The following is a 20736-nucleotide window of genomic DNA, read 5'->3' on the forward strand; positions in this document are numbered from 1 at the left end:
GCGGCTTCACTCTGTGTACACTGCACACTAAATCAGGACTACAGGAACTATCCTAAGCCAAGAATGGCCAGCCCCACAATCGCTTCAAAGGCAGGCCCCACACAAGCGTGCACACCACACCCAAGGGGCTGGGAGCACAAAGCTCAACCAACAGCCTGAGGCCCTGCTTCCAAACGCTTTCTTATTTCCTGTTTCTAAAATAGGCTAAAGCTTCTCCTCCTGACTCTAAAATGTATGCTTTAAAAGTTTTTTAGACAAAACCATAAGAAATAAAACAAAAAAAAACAAACATCATCCAACTCCAGTCCCTGGATGCACTCACATCACTGGGTCTCACTTACATAAAAACACAGTCTTGGCTCTCGGAAAGGGCACCTGTGGAGGGAAGGCAAGGCTGGGCTCAGTGGCCCTGGCCCTGGCCCTGCAGGGCATGGCAATAGCCAACAGCGGGAGAGGAGGCTGTGTCCTCTGAGACTCCTTCCTTGGAGCCACTCCGTGCAGGAGCTAGTACACCCCTCTAGGGGCACAACCCTTTGTCCTGAAACAACACTGTGAGAGGAGGAGGAGACAGGCTTTTCTCTCCCAGACTACTAGGAGCAAGCTTGGAAGGGAGAGCAAATGCAGCCCACAGAGGAGGCACATCTGGCTGGGTGTGGCGGCTCAGACTTGTAATCCCAACACTTTGGGAGGTTGAGGTGGGAAAACTGCATGAGGCCAGGAGTTTGAAACCAGCCTGCGCAACATAGCAAGACACTGTCTATACAAAAAATAAAAATAAGAAAATTAGCTGGGTGTGGTGGTGCGCACCTGTAGTCCCAGCTACTCAGGGGGCTGAGGTGTGAGGAACACTTGGGTCCAAGAGTTTGACGCTGCAATGAGCTATGATCACACCACTGTACTCCAGCCTAGGCAACAGAACAAGACCCTGTCTCAAAAAAGAAAAAAAAATTTTAATAAAAAATAAAAATAAATAAAAAATAAAGGAGGTTCATCAAACTAATCCTTTCAATCTGGTTTTCCTGCAAGCCCTCTGAGAAATGCAAATGTCTCCCACATTAATTAAAACAGTTGGGCAAGCTAGCTGGGTGCTAATTTTGCATACGATGATTTGACAAACACAACACAAAACCTTTCTGCCTACTCCCACACAGGCCTCCTCTCTACTCCTCACCCCATCATCACCCATGCTCAGCACAAACCCTGGAGGGGTATCAAAAAATGGTGAATCTCACCATGTGGTCTCAGGAGTCCACCCCACTTTACAGTGACTGTGCGCATTACCACAGGGCCAACTGAGGCCTGTGCAACCCCTCACAGCCAACCTGTTCCTACTGAAGCCACACAACAACTCAGCCTGCCTGGAAGGACGAAGACACCCTTCTGAATACCTGTCCTCCCCCAGGTACCTCAGGCAACTTGGGGTTAGGAGGCACTGGCAGGGCCCAGGACCCACGTGTGCCAACAACCCACAGCCATTCACCTAGGCCCATGATGCTGCGGTGAAAGACATGTGAACCCCCCAGAATGTGGCTTCTGATGGGACATGGGGACCTTTATGATAAATAATGATGTAAAATTTAAGTATCAATTTCTTCCATGAACATGTCCTCCAAAAATGCCTGAAAACAGCTGGCCTTCAAAGTATATGTTTGCCAGGCATCTTAACACCATTCATCTAAACCATAAAAGAAAGAATTTGCTAGGCAAATTTCAGTCCTACCATGTCTGGAAATTCTAAACTAATGAGATTTTAATGATAAACTTTCTTTCTTCTGATTTAGACATTCTTTCATCCTCAGGCAGGACTAGAAAGGCTTGGAGGGATGCAGGGGTCCCTGCTGTGTGATGGAGCAGGGCCAAGGACATGAAGTCCGTTGTCCCTAGAAGCAAAGTCTCTTTGCTCCAAGGTCCTTACCCAGGTGCGTGGACCTGTCACTTATGGGCTATTTCAAACTACAGCCTCTGTCCTGGAAGCCTCCGAGGCCCCCTGACAAAACACAATCAAACACATCCAGGCCAGTTCTCAGAATAATCACATCATGTAGCCAGCGAGTTTAGCTGGAGGCAGTTCCAGAAGTGGGGCAACCACATGGCCTTACGTTTAATGCTTGGGTGAACATGCTCTTATTGCACACCAGGGGCACGGTGGTCACCATCACCATTGCCAGGAGCCGAGGCAAGGGTATAAACTCTCTGGTCTGAAATGCCCGGGAAATCTCCGGCTGAGCCTCATAGATCTAGGAAAAGCAAAAAAGAGATTTAGGTGGTGCTAGAAGTAAGTTTCAAACCTGAGACTAGCTGTAGGCACCCAAAGGTGAAGCCATTCAATCAAATAATTATAGCGGTAAAGGTCCGAGACTCCCCACAAGGCAGAGTGGAAGATTAACCCTCAAATCTACTTGTCAAAGACAAATCAGGTCAGGAGACTGGCTGTTAACAGAGAAAGGACCTTCAGAGCAGAACTTGACCTGTGGTCTGCAGAGTCTCTTAAAACCTCTGATGGCAAATAAATCACTGCCAGAACTACGAATGGTACTACTTACCAGTTCTTGCTGCACTTGACAGGCACCTGACAAATGATGTCAGGAAGGGATGTCAAGAAGCCATCTTCTCAAAGCTTCCTCACAACGCTTTGGGATAGGCACACTTTACATTAAAACAAAAATATATTCACAGATGACAAAATTGGACCTCAGTGAGGTTAGGTAATTTCCTTAAGGCCACATAGCTAGTAAGCAGCCAAGTAAGGACTCAACACTGGGCCTGCAAAAACCACACACTCACCCCTCCCCTATCCTACAAATCAGATGTTTCATCAGATGCAGCTCCTAGTAGGGGTGCTGGCCCCAGGACTGTCTGTACCAAAACAAGGGGTGGAGTACATCCTCCTCATCCCAAGGGTAAATGTGGAGACTGTGCGCATAGGCACTCAAGCAGAATAAAAGCTGGTTTTATAGATAATGCCAGGCCCAGGTAGAGGCACAAGAAACAATCCCAGGTATTTTACCACTAGGCAAACCATGAATCAGTGACAGAGAGTTCAAACAAGTCAGGCATTACTGCCAAAGAACAGTAGGTACCTCTACTTGTAAAATGGGCAGATGCTGACATTATGATCAAAAGGAAGGTAACGCACATCCACTTAAACCAGCAGACCAACGTTCCACAGCTTATTTCAAGTTGTTCTAATTGAAGCAGCAACCTTTAAAAACTATCCTACAAGTCAGACATTTCATTTTATTTTACTTTTTATGAGCCCAGATGGAGAAGAGATAATCGGGCAACTCATCAATCCCAGTCTAACTGTGCTGAGACTCAACAAGATTTCACTCTAAGCAAAATCTTGATGAACAGGATAAATTGGCTCAAAAGATTCTAAATAAACCTCAAATTCAGCTCAGTGAAAGGCAAAACGCTATAGAAGATAAGGACACCAAATTTACATGGTCTAAAATATCCCTTTTTATCCCTGAAAGGTCTTCATATTGTATAGTTTACCAGATGAGAATGTCTGCCTGTCCCCTAACTCCCTATGCCCCCCTACCTAGCTAACAGACTTATTTTTTTGAGATGGAGTCTCGCTCTGTCACCCAGGCTGGAGTGCAGTGGCGCGATCTCAGCTCACTGCAACCTCCGCCTCCCAGGTTCAAGTAATTCTCCTGTCTCAGGCTCCCAAGTACCTGGGATTACAGGCGCACACCACCACACCCAGTTAATTTTTGTATTTTTAGTAAGAGACAGGTTTCGTCACGTTGGCCAGGCTGGTCTCAAACTCCTGACCTCAGGTAATCCGCCTGCCTCGGCCTCCCGAAGTGCTGGGATTACAGGCATGAGCCACCACGCCCAGCTTAGCTAACAGACTTTTAAATATCATGTTTTTTTACCTTGTTTAGTAGTTTGATATTATTTAACCAAGTAGACTTCGCTCGTGGGATAAAGGAAAACGTTACTTCCTTGAAGTATTTGTTCAGTAAGTCCGGGCACACTTTGAGGATGTTTACCACAAGGTCAGCCACCAGATCATCATCAGCTGCAGTTTTCAAACCCAGCAAGAAGTGCAAGAGTGTCAGGTTTCCGCCTCTGTTAGAGAAAGACACATGGGGAGAGGTCAGCAGAAAATGGTCAAAGCACCCTGAGAGCTCATGGTGACGTGCAGCTCTGCAGAATTGCCCTCAGTGAACACAGCAATAACAACGTAGGGAATTTCCCCCAGGACGTAAAGTGGGGGTTCCGTGGCCTGGGGGTTCCAGCTCTCCACAGAGGGCTTCCCTCTCATCCTCTACTTCTGAGTGGCTGAAAAAGTCTCTGTCCTGCGATCTTTCTTCTTTCCTACTTCCCTCCCTTGAGTTCAATTTGCTTTCTAAAGAAAAGGAAGAAAACCATTCTCTCTCGCTCTACCTCAGCCACCTACCAGTCTGCCTAGAAGTCAAGGCTACTGAAAAGAAAGGACAAAACCAGCAGGGAGGAATCCATGCCCCAAATTTCATTTTGAGATTTTACTGACGTTCCTCCTCCAGCCACACACAAAAAAAGCACTATGTAGGGCTGGCTGTGGTACTCACAACTGTAATCCCAGCACTTTGGGAGGCCAAGGTGGGAGGATCACCTGAGGTCAGGAGTTCAAGACCTTGGCCTTGAACTATGTTGGCTTGGTCAACATAGTGAAACCCTATCTCTATTAAAAACACAAAAAAATTAGCCAGGCATGGTGGTGCCTGCCTATAGTCCTAGCTACTCAGGAGGCTGAGGCAGAAGAATTGCTTGAACCTGAGAGGTGGAGGTTGCAGTGAGCTGAGATTGCACCACTGCACTTCCAGCCTGGGTGACAGAGTAAGACTCCATCTGAAAAAAACAGCACTATGTAAATACATATGTGAGTGTGAGTGTAAAAAAATGCAGATAAGACATTTTTCTCTTGAAAGGGGGATTTGTTTTAATTTTTAAAATTTTTTATTATTTCTTCAGAGACAGGGTCTTGCTCTGTCACCCAGAATGCAGTGGCGTGACCATAGCTCACTGCAGCCTCGAATTCCTGGGTTCAAGTGACCCTCCTGCCTCAGCCTCCTGGGTAGCTGGGACTAGAGGTGCACACCACCACATCTGGAAATAAAGTTTTTTTTATACGAACTGCTCATGAGTTGCTGCATGGTCCAGAGCGCCATTAAATTATTTCTTGACAAGAAATCTGACAAGACAGCACGAGGTCTTTGCATGGACCTTCTGCCTTCCCTGTTTCTAGCTTATTTCAAATTCCTTCATTTTCATTTAGCAGATGAAAGAAGCTAGGATGTGGAAAAAATCTACCGTAGAAAAATACTGAAAAGTTATCTCAAAGTGGACAGTCTTCAAAGGTATGAAAAGATAATAAAAGCAGGTGAGCCCAGGACTTCAAGGCTGCAGTAACCTACGACTGTGCCACTGCCTTCCATCCTGAACAACAGAGCGAGTCTCCATCTCAAAAAAAAAAAAAAAAAAAAAGTAAGAAGCAGGAAAGTCTGCAGAGACTAAAACTTGCATAAAGGGAGTAAAATCCCAGGATCCACACAGCCAAAGCCCCAGGACACTAGGCTTCATCTGCTTCAAAGTCTTTTTAGAAAATATGCCCTTTCCTATCTGCTTGACCCTGTGAAGTCAAAACATCCAGAAAATCCTCAGACTCTGTCTCATGTGCACGACACAGTGATGGTTTCTAGGGTCCCCGGTGTCTCACATCCCCCTTATAAATTGAGTAAAACTACAATGCTATATGAGAGCTTTACATATAGTAAAAAAAGTTTTTTAAAAACCAAATTAGAAAGTATAATTTTGATCAGAAAAACTATCCTTTAAAAAAGGACATGAAAATATCCTTTCCTAATATGAAAATGTCATGAACAAAATAGTTTGTACTGTCAAATGAAAAGGATATTAAATCTACAAAGAGTGCTAAAAATACTACACATGCTTTATTTTAATCAACAACGTAATAAAATGGAGAGCATTAATATTTATGTAGTGCACAACACATGCCAGACACTGCTCTAAGCAGTTACCACCACGTCTCTGCGACAGGCACTACTTTTATTCCCACTTTATAGACAAGATAATGGAGGCAGAGAGGATGCCTAACCCAGTGAAGGTCTCAGAGCTAAGTTGGGATTGAAGCCCAGCTGTCTGCTCTGTTAACCTACACCAGCGACTGGCAAAGTAGGGCCCAGCACCTATCATTGTAATTTGATTGGGACACAGGTAAACCTACTTATTTACATCTATGGATGCTTTGCTGGCACAACTGAGTGGTCACAACAGACTGTGTAGGCTGCCAAGCCCAAAATACAATCTGGCCCTTTGTAGAAAAGTTTGCCAATCCTTGCTCTATGCTCTAACACCAGCTTTCAGTGAACACCTACTATGTGCCAGGCACTGTCCTAGGGACTGGAGGCCCATAATAGACCAGCGCCCGTTCTCACCACTTCTCACCAATCTGATAATGAACAAGCAAATAAATAAATCAGCAAATAAATGTATGAACAGTCAGAAGCCTAAGCCAGGCAAAAAGCACAGTGACAGTGGAGGGACTATTTCAGAAAGGGCTGTCCGGGAAGGCCTCCCTGAAGTGGTGAGGTCTGCACAGGAACCTGAATGAAATGAATGAGTGGGCCACGTGTCTACTGGGGAACAGGGAACGATGCAATTCAGTGTTCTCAAAGCTTTCTATCACCATCCACAAACAAATCTCCTTCCTTTCCCTTATGCACAAACACTTGTCTTTTGCCCATGGCTTCAAAATTCACATAAATCACAGCTTGCTGCAAAGAGACGCACACCCACAAGTTGATTCAATATGCTCATTAAATGCTCATCTATTTCATGGGCCTAGTTATGGAGGAAAAATGCTTTAAAAAGGGGGAACAATGCATGTGTTTTAAGCATGGTGTAATATTCTATTCGACTATAAAAGTCTGCTGTTATGTTTTGGCAGGAAAATGAGCTCATTCTTACTGATGAAAGAAAAAAGAAATGATGTGACAAGTTAAATCACAGTGACCTCAGAATCAAAACACGTCCAAAGTCATAAGCAGACAGAAAAACTCCCACCATGTTATTCCATTCTGAAGGAATCACCTGATTTCCTGACTGGCTGAAATTAGAAGTAAATCAAACTGCCTAAATCCTTGTGATATAATGCTAGGATAGAATAACAAGGATTAAACAATAAATCATTTACACATTTACAATGACAAGAAAACATGGCCAATATTTTTATTGTCAAGTGGGAAAAAAGCAGATAGGATGAACAGTAGTAAGCCATTTTTGTTATTAAAAAAAAAAATCACATAGACCTGTATTATACGATTACAAAAAGAAAGTCTTAAAGAATATGATCAAAACCAGTAGATTTGAACTTAATATGTTTCCTTACTGATGAAATGTTACCACAATTGTGAAATGTGAAACAAAATGTTAAAAAAAAAAACAATTTTGAAACCGTGACTCATGGGCAGCCTGTCAAGGAGAGGGAGGACTGTTTTAGTATCAGTTTGGAGCTGGACTTCCTGGATTCCAGTGCAACCTCTGCCATTTAACCAGTGTAAGTGTCTCGACCTCTCTAGAACTACTTTCTTCCTCTGCAAAGCTGGCATAACAATGGTACCTGCGTCAGGACTGCTGTGAGGCCCATGTCAGGGCCAACCCTCTCTGGCAAGGCAGACGCCTTTTCTGAGCTCCAGCTGACGAACACTGTCTTTAGGTAAACATCCGCAGCACCTCCCTGGGTGAAATATCCCATGACCTAACTAAGTGCTAATAGACAGCTACCCTCAGAACTGCCCCTGAGGACATGCAACAAGGAGAAGTTCTCTGGGACTACAACTGTTCAACCCTGAAACGAGTTAGATAATGTCCACAATTCTAGTTCTAACCTACTACAGTTCCACTAGACACTCACATATGTGGTGACTTCTGAGGAACATACACACCCTGGGGTCCACAAGAGTGTTATACTTTACCTGCCAAAGGTACCCAAAGATGCATCGTAAAAATTAATTCCATGCTTGAGTGAACAGCAAAGATCCATCAGGAAGTTATGAACAAGCTCCCGCACCATGGTTTTCCCTGCTTCTTCGGCAGAAACCTATGAAGATTTTTTAAAAATTCAATGAAAATCCCAAGCTCATACACTTTAGTAAGAGCTAGAGTAAAAACAAGGACAATATTAACTGCCGATGACAATTTAGAAAACATTTTAAATACTTGGTGTCATTCCAAACAATAAATGAAAACAACAACAAAAAGATACACCGATCAAGATAAAAGAATACTCTGAAGAGGGGCAAGTTTAAACCTGTATTTTTAAAAGCTTTAAAGTGATCTAATTTCTCTTGTTCATTTGAATAAAATTCCATATTTGGGAGTGTTTTTATGCAGCCTCTGAGGCTTGCTGGTCTAGAGCATACAAAAACATGTTCAAAACAAGAGGACCTGGGCAAGTCTCCAAGATAAAAGGAGGTGAAATATTAGGCTCTTGAGAGGTGAATTATTATAACGTTAACAGGAAGTCTGTGCCTTTACTACTCTGGCCAAGTCCATGTTCAGTAACACCCTGAAGAAAATTAAAATATACACTGGCATTGGGTCGATGTTAAGAGCAGCTGTTTCAATTTAGCACGAGTTAACTAGCACAAAATAAATTATATATGTCAGTAGGTGAGGCTCCTAGACATTCAGGATCCTGAGGTTAAAAACAAACAAACAAACAAAAAACACACAACAAGCCTTGAAACTCCAACAACTGGACATGAAAGAATGGAAGGATGGGAAGGCAGAGGTAAAGCAAGAGGAAAAGATGGCCGGGATGACCCTGCAGGTCTAACAGGCAAGTGCTGCAGGGAAAACTAAGATATGGCTCAGCCCAAGGAAATCATAGTTTTCTAATTAAAAAAAAAAATTATTAGCATGATTAAGAAATTAGGGGAAAAAAATCCTATTGCAGTTAGCAGAGGGTTAATACAACCATATAACCACAGTCAAAAGAAACAGATCAAATGAGGGGACTTCAAGTCTGGTGCGGTGTTGAGAATTCTCCCTCTCCCAACCCTGAGGATCAAATTCCAACAACGAGGTCAACGAAAACCAAAAAGTGTCTGCACCTTGACATTTTCTGGGTTCACATCGGTAATCCCATTCCAGTTGTACAGCGATGCTATGTGGTTCAATAACTGCCCCGTAAAGAAACGCACCTTCTGGGTTTTTGTGATATTTTTATTGTGAACTACCTGAAACAATAATAAAACAAATTATTAAAAAACAAATTATGAAAAAGTTCATGGAATTCAATTATTTTTTAAATGGTGCTTACTGTTTTCTCATCATTATAAAAATAATGCTTGCTAGTGGCAGAAAATTTGGTTTAAAAAAAGGAAAAACATAAAGGGAAATTCACCAATATTCCCAACCATCCTAGGATATCGTTACTATTTTGATATATTTCCTTTCAGTCACCACCCACACCCACACAATATACATGTGTATGTATTCATTATTTTTTGCCTGAGATTTTATTTATATATGATTACTTATGAAGCATAAGCCTTTTCCACGTCATTAAACATCCCTTTAGAACATTTTGGGGGGCTAAATACCATTCTATCCTATGAGTGGACCACAACTTATCTAACCATTCCCCTGGTGTTTACAATTAGTTGTTTCTAAATTCTGGCTATTCTCCATAAAGCTGTGATTAGCATCCTTGAACATAGTCTTCATTGCATCTGACTTTGGACTTGACACTGGTTCCTGCAAGTAGAATTGTGGCACAAATTCTCAGCTCCACCCAAACCTAACCCCAGAATCCCTATGGGTGTGGCCCAGGTATATATATTTCAGATACATTCCCCTAGAGGTTCTGATGCAACTCCCCCAGTTCAGAACAACCATACGTCACGGTCCATGAACATATTTAAGACCTCTGACACATCCTGTCAGAACTGTTATCTTCCATAGGGGATACAACACTTCCTCCTCAAGAAAGTATCTGATTCAAAGCATCCTTGCTAGCACTGAACACCATTGTTTTTAAAAGTCAATGCTATTTTAGTAGGCAAAAAAATCTGTATGTCATTATTTGCTTTACTTTAAATTAGGGTTTCTCAACCTCAGCTCTACTGACACTTGGGGCCAGGTAATTGTTATGGGGGCCATCCTGGGCATTACAGGATGTTCGGCAGCATCCCTGCTGTCTCCCCACTAGGCACCAGTTGTACCTCCCCAGTTGTGACAATGCAAAATGTCTTCAGAGATTGACAAATGTCCCGTAGAAGGCAAAATTGCCCCCATTTGAGAATCACTCTTTAAAATACTTCGAAAATAAAGTCCTTTCATGCTTATTAGCCATTTTCATGTGGACTCTGGACAACTTGTCATGTTGGGAGGGTCATAGTTTTTCTTACTGATGATTTAAAGTGTTTCTGTATTAAAGGCAGTGATCTTTTTAGCAAGTTTTAAAATATCAATAAGATGCTTGCAAAAGGCAGAATATGGAACATGACACAGAACAACATTTTGCTAGATATGTGAATGAAGTATTATTTATAATTTACAGCTCACAATGATTACTTTGGGTTGCTGTGAAATGTTGACCAGCAGCTTTTCTGCTGCTGTAATAAAACAGCAGCCATGTCTGGACATCACTGGCTGCTTCAGCTATTCTTTAACCTTCTAGTCCCAGGATATGCTCATCAACAAGAACAAGTTTCTGCTTAGGGAAGAGTTTTCCACTCAACCAATACAACAATCTATGTAAGATAAGATGTTGTAGCTCTACAGTCCTGTAAAACACCGGAGAATATCTCCATTCCCAAGGGAAAACAGACAACAGAAACGCGGATCACCAAGCACATACCTTTGTTTTCAGTGTGGATAATAAAATATTGATGGTAGAGATCCTATCTTCCTTTATCCCTGAGCTAAAAATGCAAGGAATAAATTCTGAAAGTAAAAGTTTCAAAGCATTAAATTCAAAAATATTTTGAAAATGAGAATAGACGAGAGAATATTACTGTTTAGGTGGTACAGCAAACAATGCCATTTACTTTTTCAAGTTTTTTTTTTTTAACTATACAAGTTTCCGGTAGAAATAACCACTTCCATGACATAAGAAATCAAGAAGCCAGGCAGAGTGGCTCATGCCTGTAAGCCCAGCACTACAGGAGGCCAAGGTGGGAGGATCCCTTGAGGCCAGGAGTTCAAGACCAGCCTGGGCAATATAGCAAGACCCTGTCTCCAAAAAAAAATTTAAAAATTAGCTGGGTATGGTGGTGCGCACCTGTAGTCTTACTGTAGTCTTAGGTACCTAAGAGGCTGAGGTGGCAGGATCACCAGTACCCAGGAGTTTGAGGTTGCAGTAAGCCATGATCGCACCACTGCACTCCAGCCTAGGCAACAGAGCAAGACGCTGTCTCCAAAAAAACAAAACAAAACAAAACAAAAAGGAAGAAAGAAAAGAAATCAAGAGCACCTACAAGCGAACCAATGACAGAACTTTTTAAGAAGTTCAGTAGGTCTTTAGTTCCATTTTACTTTTCTTTTCTCATATTAAAATTAACTAAATACTATTTGAAAGAGAATGTACGGTATAACAAACTAATACAATTTCTCTCTTGCTTAGACTTGCTGAGATGTGTTTAAAGAGATGGTCATGATTTTTTAAGTTGGCAGTAGAATTTTGGGTGATTTAGTTTGTTTACTTTTTGCTTTCTCTTCCTACTTTTCAATCCCCAAGGAAATGGCCACCAGAGCTTGACACTGTTATCATTATTAATGCAGTAGTGACAGTGGGCAGAAGCAGCAAAACAATTACAAATTTCCTTGCTCCACACATGCTTACTGGGCACACAGAATTTCTACAAAAGCAAATTCATTATTTGTGAAAAAGGAAAAATCAGAAAATACCAGACAAACCAAAAGAATAAGTCAAAGCTTCAGTACCGAGAAGTTAACACTGTTAACATCATCTGAGTTAACTATTACCCTTCTGATGTATTCATGCTACTCTATTTGAGTAAAATGAGATCATACTTTATAGTTTTATAGTTTACACCCAATCATATATCACTAAAAAACTTTGAAATCATTAAGTGCAGCATGTTTTTTTTCTTTTTGAGACAGGGCCTCCCTCTGTCCTCCAGGCTAGAGTGCAGTGGCGCAATCTCCACTTACTGCAGCCTTGACATCCCAGGCTCAAGCAATTCTCCCACCTCAGCTTCCCAAGTAGCTGAGACAACAGGTACACGCCAACACACCCAGCTAACTTTTGTTTTGTTTGTTTGTTTGTTTGTTTGTTTTGGTAGAGACAGAATCTCACTATGTTGTCCAGGATGGTCTCAAGAACTCCCGGGCTCAAGCAATCCTCCAGCCTCCAACTCCCAAAATGCTGGGATTACAGGTGTGAGCCACGACGGCCAGCCTCCAGAGTATTTTTAATCGCTGCATTCCATCTTATGACCAGTCCCCAATTTGCTCAGCCAATCCCTTACTGGTGGATAGTTAGAAGACCCATTTCCAGCTAATATAAATATTATTCCCTAACAAAACCTCTACTCACATCTTTAATTATTTCACTGGGATAAATGACTAGACATGGAATTGCAGGATCAAGTATCTTAAAAGTTTTTTTATCTTTTTTCTTTATCTATTGTGCAACCCACTTCAGTGCCAGCAGCCTACGGGAACAGAGGCCAGGCAATGGTTCAGGGCTACAGTTTGCTCTGGCATGGGGTACTATGAGAGGTCCAGGGGGACGGGCCCATCATAAATCCAAACCCATGCATAAGCACCTTAAAAGTTTTGATGTGTACAGCCAAACTTCCCAGCAGAAACATTAAACTGTAGTATGTTCCAGCCCCCTTCAACAGTGTAAATGGTACCAACTGTCACTGAATAAAAGGCCAGACAGCTGAAATGGCCCACGGGAATTTGAAGAAACTACTGGCCCTGGCAGCAGCAAGATATCCTGAACCTAGTGCCTGGTAACAAGTAGGAAAAAAAAAAATCTGTCCGCTGCATTATGCAGAGACCACATCTCCACTCTCATGCTGCTCCACCACAGCAGCAATAGAGCGCCCCACACAGACCAGGCTGACCACATACAGGGTGACCGCCACCTGCACTCTCCTCCTAAATCGTCCCGGCAGTCACGTTCCAGGGGCAGTCCAGATCTCCCATCCTGGGAGGGAGAAGAAGGGCTGGAGACCCAAACACCCTGAGTACAGCACCCTGCTACTCCTCCTCAATAACTCCCAGAGTTCCGGCCAGGACATGGGACTGCTCCTCACCTCCAGACAGGCCAGGATTCCAGGGAATCTTACCGAGCAACTGCCATGTGCTGAGCTAAGTGCTGCCATTTATCATCTTAGTGAATCTCTTGATAAAATGCAAGGGGCCCTGGCAGATTAAATGATGCCAAGCCTCACTCTAGGGACACAGCCACCAAAAGGTGGTCAAGTTGGAATTCTCTGAAGCCCTGTTACTGATGTTCTCGTAACACAGGTCTAAGCCACCAAAGAAACTAACTTTGTTTTTTAAAACGACATCTCCCAAGGAAATCCAGGTAGCCAAGGCTATGAGTCTGAGTAGGTTCCATAGCCATAAAGCCTCCTTTGTTTGCCCGACTCTGCCTCTCTGAAGTCTGCATTTATCCTCTGTGACGGCATTGTTCAGCATTCCAGACGGCATAACAGGAACAACTCTGTTCACTCTTGACCAGTGATATCAAAATGGTACTGACCAAGGCTTTGCACCCGCTCACCCACCTCCCTGCCCCACATCCTTCAATCTGGTGTACACAGCAACTGCAAAGGCTGCAGACTTTTTTTGAACTTGGAAGAAACGGTTTGCAGTAGGTTTTTCAAAACAAATGGGCTTTCCTAACGGACAAGGGAGTACACCTACCTTTCACTTCCAACACCTGCACTATAGTGCTGTCATCACCCGCAATTAAAAAGGAGAGAGCAAACTGAACGTAGGCCTGCCGAACGTCGTACACTCCCTAGAGGACAAAGGAGACCTACATGTCACATGCATATTCCACATACAGCCAAAGGAATCAGCAACACAGTGGCCAAGCACACCCCTCCCGTCTCAACATCACCAGCCCCCCAGCCTTGTCCCCAGTCACCAGGGGATGCAAGTCTGAAACCAATGCTCATTCTCCATGGAAAGTAAAAAATTTTTTCCGTTCTCTTTCCCCGGTAATCTTCTCTACTTTCCTTCTCTTTCAAGCCCTATTCTCAATACAAAAGTATGGGTAAAAAATAGTAGTGTTCCCTTCCCTGACTATAACACATACATTTTCGTTTCTTGGCCACTTTGGTGTAGAGCAAGACTCTCAGCCTGCCTAGATCCATCTCCTCTCGCTTGCTGATGAAAATAATCTATGTTTTTGAAAATCCAGAGATGATGAAATGGCTGGTACTGCTTTTGGTGAGACACCAATGTGGTGATGTCTGGTTTTTATGAGATATTATAAATAACTTATTAGCTCATACCACAAACCAAAGCACAGATGCTGTCACGTTACTAACCCTGTTAGGCCTTCCCAGGGTTGTAGCCAGCACTGTCCACATGCATCAGCCACCAACCAGGGCACTGGGCACGTTTGGGGAGGGCCCCAACACCGTGACAGCAGCCAGTGCCTCTAGGGAAGCCGCTGATCAGCTTCCCCTCCCAGTATCATTAAGACAAAGCTGTGTCACATCACTCCTCGTTTTGTATCTAAGGAACTCAAGGCATGTGGTCATGTCAGTCTCTCATCAGCTGTTCCAGAACTAGCAGGTGTGCCTGGATCCTCCATTGCTTACACCCAGCACTATTCTCTACTTCACAGTTACTCCAAAGATACCTTCATTCACTGCCAAGAAATAAGTTAATATCACAACAAGTCACTGCCCCAAAATGCCTGGGAAAATTAAGGAGTAATCTCTGCCTTCCAGATAGTTCTGTTCCACTTAGTAGTAGCAGGAGAGGTGGTGGCAGTAGTAGTGATGATGATGAGGAGGAGGAGGAGAACAATGTTTACAGAGCACTTACTATGTGCCAGGCACTGTATCAAATGCTGCACATCCGTGATCTCATTTACTCCTCATAACAGCCTGAGGGAGAGATGCCCACACCACACCCATTTTACAGATGAGAAAACTGAGGGTTCAAAAATTCAGCCGGACACGGTGGCTCATGCCTATAATCCCAGCACATTGGGAGGCCAAGGAGGGTGGATCACTTGAGGTTAGGAGTTCGAAACCAACCCGGCCAACATGGTGAAACCCTGTCTCTACTAAAAATACAAAAATTAGCTGGGTATGGTGGTAGGCGCCTATAATCCCAGCTACTCGGGAGGCTGAGACTTAAGCCCGGGAGGCAGAGGTTGCAGTGAGCAGAGATCACGCCACTGCACTCCAACCTGGGCGACAGAGCGAGACTCCATCTCAAAAAAAAAAAAAAATTTCACTCGAGGTCACACAGCTAATTAAGTACCAGAACTGAGATAAGAAGTAATTGTACAAACATACGACTTATGTTCAACTACAGAGAAGTTCTTCCTTCTTCACAAGATTCTGTGGCATTTTCCATTTTCATTTCACTTTTTCTCAGGGTGCAAGGACCATACTTGGCATCAGTTAGGTCTCTGTGCAAGTCTTTAATTAATTCCATCTTATTTTGTTGGGTCTATGTTTCTTCTGGAGAAAAGGAAGGCTATCCAACCCATGCTCCCTAATATGTGGATCAAGGCCTTGCACACTCATTACATTTATTGAGTTTATCCCCGTCCATGTCACACAGCATCTCAGCAAGACCTTATTACACCAATGTGAGTTTCTTCCAAAACTGAGACCTTCAAACTATCCTCTCTGTTCTGAGGACCTATCTGTGTGTCTCATCACAATAAGGAGTTTGCATCCAATGATCACTGGTGCTGAGAATGTGCAGCACTTCCATAGTGTCAGCAACACTCCAGTGCCTTAACCCACCAATTCAGTTTTTATGAAACACTCATTCCATTCAAGATGCCATCATCTCAGGCCAAGAGAGGGTGCAAAGTTTACCAAGATGTTGTCCCTGTCCTCAGGAAGCTTAAGCTGCTCCCAAGCCATCTCTATGCCTCATTGTTCAAATAAACATACCATCTAATTCAAGCAGTTAATTTTCTTGATCTACACACACCTTGTGTTCCAGATGAATGCTGGTAAAATGCTAAAACTTGCCTGGCAAAATTAAATTAAGTTCTGTCTTTTCCCTGCTAGTGGAAAGTTCCTGTGCTTTTATTTTGTGTCCACTGAAGTAACAGTACTGGGAGTCAGGGCCCTGGAATGCTGGTCCAGGTTTTCTGCCATTCTACATCTTTCTATCCTGCTGGTACACAGCAGAACTAGACCTCCTGTGGGTCCCTCCAGCAATGAATTTATAAATGAAAAGGGATTTAGTTATCACCTCCTGGCTTCCATCTTTTATATCCCAGACAACTCCAAATTTCACGTCCTGACATGATGGAGGAACTGGGTAAGATCCCCAGGACACAGCAGCTGCCCACTCTAGGCTCTAGGCTCTGCCACTGTCGTGGCCCCCTGGGGCTCCATCCTCTGTTTCCAGTCCTCTCCATCAAAGGCGTCCCACTCCTACTGCAAGTGGACCACATGCCTGCTCTTCATTCCCACCCTGTGACCTCACAGGGTTATTATTCCAGGAAGAAAACGTCCTGAACTCTTCAGGGCTTGTTCTGCAAAACACTGTCTAAAACAGACCAAAATACACTTGGTAAAACTGCTCTTTGGCACAGGATTTTAACAATGCTTTCTTTGGCTGGATGAATATTATCTATAACCCTCCTTCTTCATGACGCTTTAATAATTTCCTCCAAAATGTTAACATATATTCATTAAAAAAAAAAAAAAATCCCTGCCAGCACTTCAACAACTAAATAGCATTTAAAAAAAAAAAGCAGGGGATGGCATGAGGGAGAAAAACTCAAAGACGCAAAAGGGATCAAAGATATTTAAGAAACATATCAACCAAATGCAATGTGGACTTTGTTTGGATCCCGATCTGAATCACAAAGTGTAAAAACATTTTTGAGACGGAAAAAACCTGAGACCAAACTGAGTAATAGATGATAGTGAGAAATTATTAATGTGTTAGGCGTGATAATGGCACTGTGGTTTCTGTTCTTTAAAAGGTCTTTTTCTGTTAGAGTACATGCTGAAATATTTATAGTGAAATATGATTCACGTCTGGGATTTGCTATAATCGACTGCCCCAGAGGAAACTGAAAAGGTGGAGGGTGGGGACAGTGGCTGAAGCTGGACAGCTGGTACAGGGGTTCCTCACGCTGCTCTATTTTTAAATGTTCCTAACAGTTCCTTATTAAATGTAATGTCTCAACTCCATTTCCTATAACATATAAGATATCTAAGATACTTATTACAGATTACACAATGAAAGTAAAAACACTTTCAACTTGACTGTAACTCCCATTTTACAGATCCTGGAGAGGTAAAATAATGTGCCCTGAGACCCTGAGATGAAACGGCTTGTGTGTGGCCCTGCAGCCGGGCTTCAGGACGGGAAGCCCTTTCCCACGCTGTCTGGGCTCCTAAAGTCTATTTCACTTAGACGGCGGGGAGGGCTGAGATCAAAAGAGATGGGTGGGGAGGGCATCTGATGGATAATTATTGCCAGGCTTACTGCCAGGTAAGACCAAAGAACCGTGATATTTGCCCTCGTCTGCAAATAGCACACACATTCTTTTTATTAGAAACGTATTTAAATGTCAGGAGCCATTACTCATTGAATGGAATTTGTTGACACATGGATAAAGCATAGTATCTAAGAGACATTAAGACCTGGAATTTTTTTCCTTAGAGAATACCTTATTTGTAATTCCAGTAAAACCCTCAACACCAGGCCAATCTCACAGAGCCATAAAAGCTACTTGGTATTATCAACCCTTTAGTCCAATTCCCGGCAATGTAGAAACTCTTAGTTCCCAGGGATACTGACAGAACAAGGCAGCACACTGTTATAGAAGTGAATTATTCTAATGTGGTTCTCCACCGCAGCAGATGGGATGGACTGATACCTGTCCCCTTATTCTTTACGTTCAGGAAGAGGGTGACACTCTGGCCAGGGCTGTTCACAGCACTGAATTCCAGCAGGGGAGCTGATATGGCAACCAGAAGAGGCCCTACGACAGACAACCTGGAGCCAGCACACGCGATGGGAGGATGCCCTCTCTCAAGCTCAGGAGTCCTCCAAGTGTGCCTGCTCCCCAAGAACCTTTCCAAACCCAAGTGAAATTTCAAAAGCCACCAGGGAATTTTTGTTTCACAGGTTTCCTGAAAACCAACCATCCACACTCCCATTTTTCCTGGGCACAATCCAACCCTTACCCATCACAAGATTGTAACTGGGAGGCAAAAGTCACTTATTAAAAAGCCATAAAAGTCCTCTCTGAGGACGTCACTGGCTTAGAGCTTCAAGGGCTTTCTCCGAGGTGGGCAGAACAGGAACAGAGGACTGGCACACACTACAAGCTTCAGGGCCATGGGCACATGGAGGGTATTTCATTTACCAGGAGAGGAGATGCCCACAGCTAAGTCATCCTCACAACCAGGAAGGCCCTGTGCCACTCAGCCCCCAGGAGCCTCCTCAGATATCCCCATTGTTCAGGCTCTGCCAGGTTCTGGCCCTATCGCCAGCCTGAAGCGAGTCCTGTCCTCACAGACAGATCCTGTGGCTGCTGACACACACCTTTCTACATAGACACCTCTCATTTCATCTGTGTGGGGATCAGGGGCAGAGAATGGAGGAAAAACCACTACAGTCCTCCAAGGGAAGGAGACCCATGGAAGGCACGAGACACTGTGGTCCCCTCACCTTTGAATCCCTCTTGGTCACCAGGGTGTACAGGGTCTTTTTATTCAAATCAAAATGGCTGCAGACGTCCCTGGCAGCTTCCGGACCCTGGGTCACCATGGCGGTCATCAGGCTCAGGCAGGCGCGAGCCAACCTGCACAGGGAACCAGAGGAAATCGGACACGTCAACAACAGCAGAAGCACAGAGCCGCCTCACCACAAAGCCAGCTGCAAGCTGCTTGTGTTATTTGCTATCCCCAAACCAGAAAAAAAGAAGGAAAAAGACATGCTCTTTTTTTAAGGAAAAAGAAAAAAAAAAGCATAAAGATTCAAAATAACGCTAAAAATTAAAACTAAGTAGGATTAACAATATAAACACAAGATTTGAAGAAGATGGACATTTCTCTCTGGAGTGAGCCACTGTGTGATCAATAGACCACACCTCAGTCCCTGTGACTGCAGAATACAGAGGACGACTTCTTCACAAAGGCATCTCTGAATGCGAGCTCTTGGCTGTCTTTCCGTTCTGCGGTTATCCAGATTCCATGGTTTTCTGAGCACCTGCTACATGCAAGGCCCTGTTCTAGGTGCTGGGAAGGTGGCATTTTATAACACAGGCAAGGCCCTGCCACATGCACCTATAGGATTCCAGTAGAGGGAGTCACTCAACAGATAATAGCAGCAAGGACAGTAGCAGGCAGGACAAGAGGGACAAGGGGTAAGTAAGAGAGGAGTCAGGGACAGCCAGGGCTGGTCCACAAAGGAAGGGGGCAGAGACTCGGTCACTGTGGCCTCGGAAATAGCTCAGCTCTCCTCTAGCCATAAAGGTACTGACCAAATGCACCTGCGGAGAGCTGAATGCAGACCAAACCCAAAGGCCCATCCTTTGTCACACCAAGGCAGACTGCCTACCTGTAACCTGAGGCATACAGGGACTCACAGATGAGCTTCATGTGGTTGTTCATCAGCTTTTTCACAATGTTGGTTCCCACAACATGGAAATGTGAAAGATCACTTGCTGTCCGCAATAATATGGCCTCGAAAACTTGAAATATTAACATCGTCTGCAAAGACAGAATTGAAACGCTTAGAAATCGTCTCATTTCCTTTCCTCCTGTACATATATGCTCCTTTTGTCTTAGCCATAGTTACTTGTAGGCTTAAAGCCTTCAACATGCAGGATGACGCCCACCCAGATCCTGAGTCAAACGCGACAGCTTGGCAGGCTGATCTGCAGGACCCATGCCCTGCATGTAGCCCCACTCCCATAGTCCAGCAAAATAAAGAACAGCTTGTTAGGGCCAGGCGTGGTGGCTCACGCCTGTAATCCCAGCACTTTGGGAGGCTGAGGTGGGCAGATCACGAGGTCAGGAGATTGAAACCATCCTAGCTAACACGGTGAAACCCCGTCTCTACTAAAAATACAAAAAATTAGCCAGGCGTGGTGGCGGGCGCCTGTAGTCCCAGCTACTTGGGAGGCTGAGGCAGGAGAATGGCATGAACCCAGGATGCGGAGCTTGCAGTGAGCCGAGACTGCGCCACTGCACTCCAGCCTGGGCAACAGAGTGAGACTCCGTCTCAAAAATGAAAGAAAAGAAAAGAAAAGAAAAGAAAGAAAGAAAGAAAGAAAGAAAGAACAGCTTGTTTACAATCACAGAAAATCAAATGAGAAGAAAATTCTCTTAATGACTGGGTCTCATTCCTTTAGAGATATTCAGATCTACATCCTTATAGCAATAACCCTGAGATTTCAACAGGCGCATCAATATCCCAATGTTCAATCTCTTTGGAATCAGAAAACAATCATCAATTCATTATGTGTTGTGAGTCTGTGACACCACATGTTTATGTGTT

At 43.8% G+C, this 20736-nt stretch overlaps 1 protein-coding gene and 1 non-coding gene across 2 annotated transcripts in view, besides 1 other annotated feature; both read right to left on the minus strand.

The window, feature by feature from the left end:
- Window positions 1-20736, minus strand: part of URB1 (URB1 ribosome biogenesis factor) — an 81995-nt gene that overhangs the window by 53501 nt on the left and 7758 nt on the right. Inside the window, exons 3-10 of the mRNA NM_014825.3 lie at window positions 19795-19946; window positions 18904-19036; window positions 13927-14023; window positions 10880-10965; window positions 9129-9254; window positions 7989-8113; window positions 3885-4080; window positions 2100-2237 (exon numbers count right to left, since the gene is read on the minus strand). Coding sequence (NP_055640.2) covers window positions 2100-2237; window positions 3885-4080; window positions 7989-8113; window positions 9129-9254; window positions 10880-10965; window positions 13927-14023; window positions 18904-19036; window positions 19795-19946 — 1053 coding nt within the window. The remainder of the gene's footprint in view (window positions 1-2099; window positions 2238-3884; window positions 4081-7988; window positions 8114-9128; window positions 9255-10879; window positions 10966-13926; window positions 14024-18903; window positions 19037-19794; window positions 19947-20736) is intronic.
- On the minus strand, window positions 12669-12804 carry SNORA80A (small nucleolar RNA, H/ACA box 80A). The gene has a single exon (NR_002996.2). It is a non-coding gene; the product is annotated as a small nucleolar RNA, H/ACA box 80A (small nucleolar RNA).
- Window positions 17610-18809: an enhancer, noted in NCBI's record as "CDK7 strongly-dependent group 2 enhancer chr21:33754437-33755636 (GRCh37/hg19 assembly coordinates)". NCBI's record gives its function as "activates an origin of replication core promoter dependent on BRD2, BRD4, P300/CBP, MED14 and CDK7 cofactors, with strong dependence on CDK7, by STARR-seq in HCT116 cells {active_cell/tissue: HCT116}" and the evidence as "EXISTENCE:reporter gene assay evidence [ECO:0000049][PMID:35650434]".

This window comes from Homo sapiens, chromosome 21 (assembly GCF_000001405.40).
Source record: "Homo sapiens chromosome 21, GRCh38.p14 Primary Assembly".
Lineage (NCBI taxonomy): Eukaryota > Metazoa > Chordata > Mammalia > Primates > Hominidae > Homo > Homo sapiens.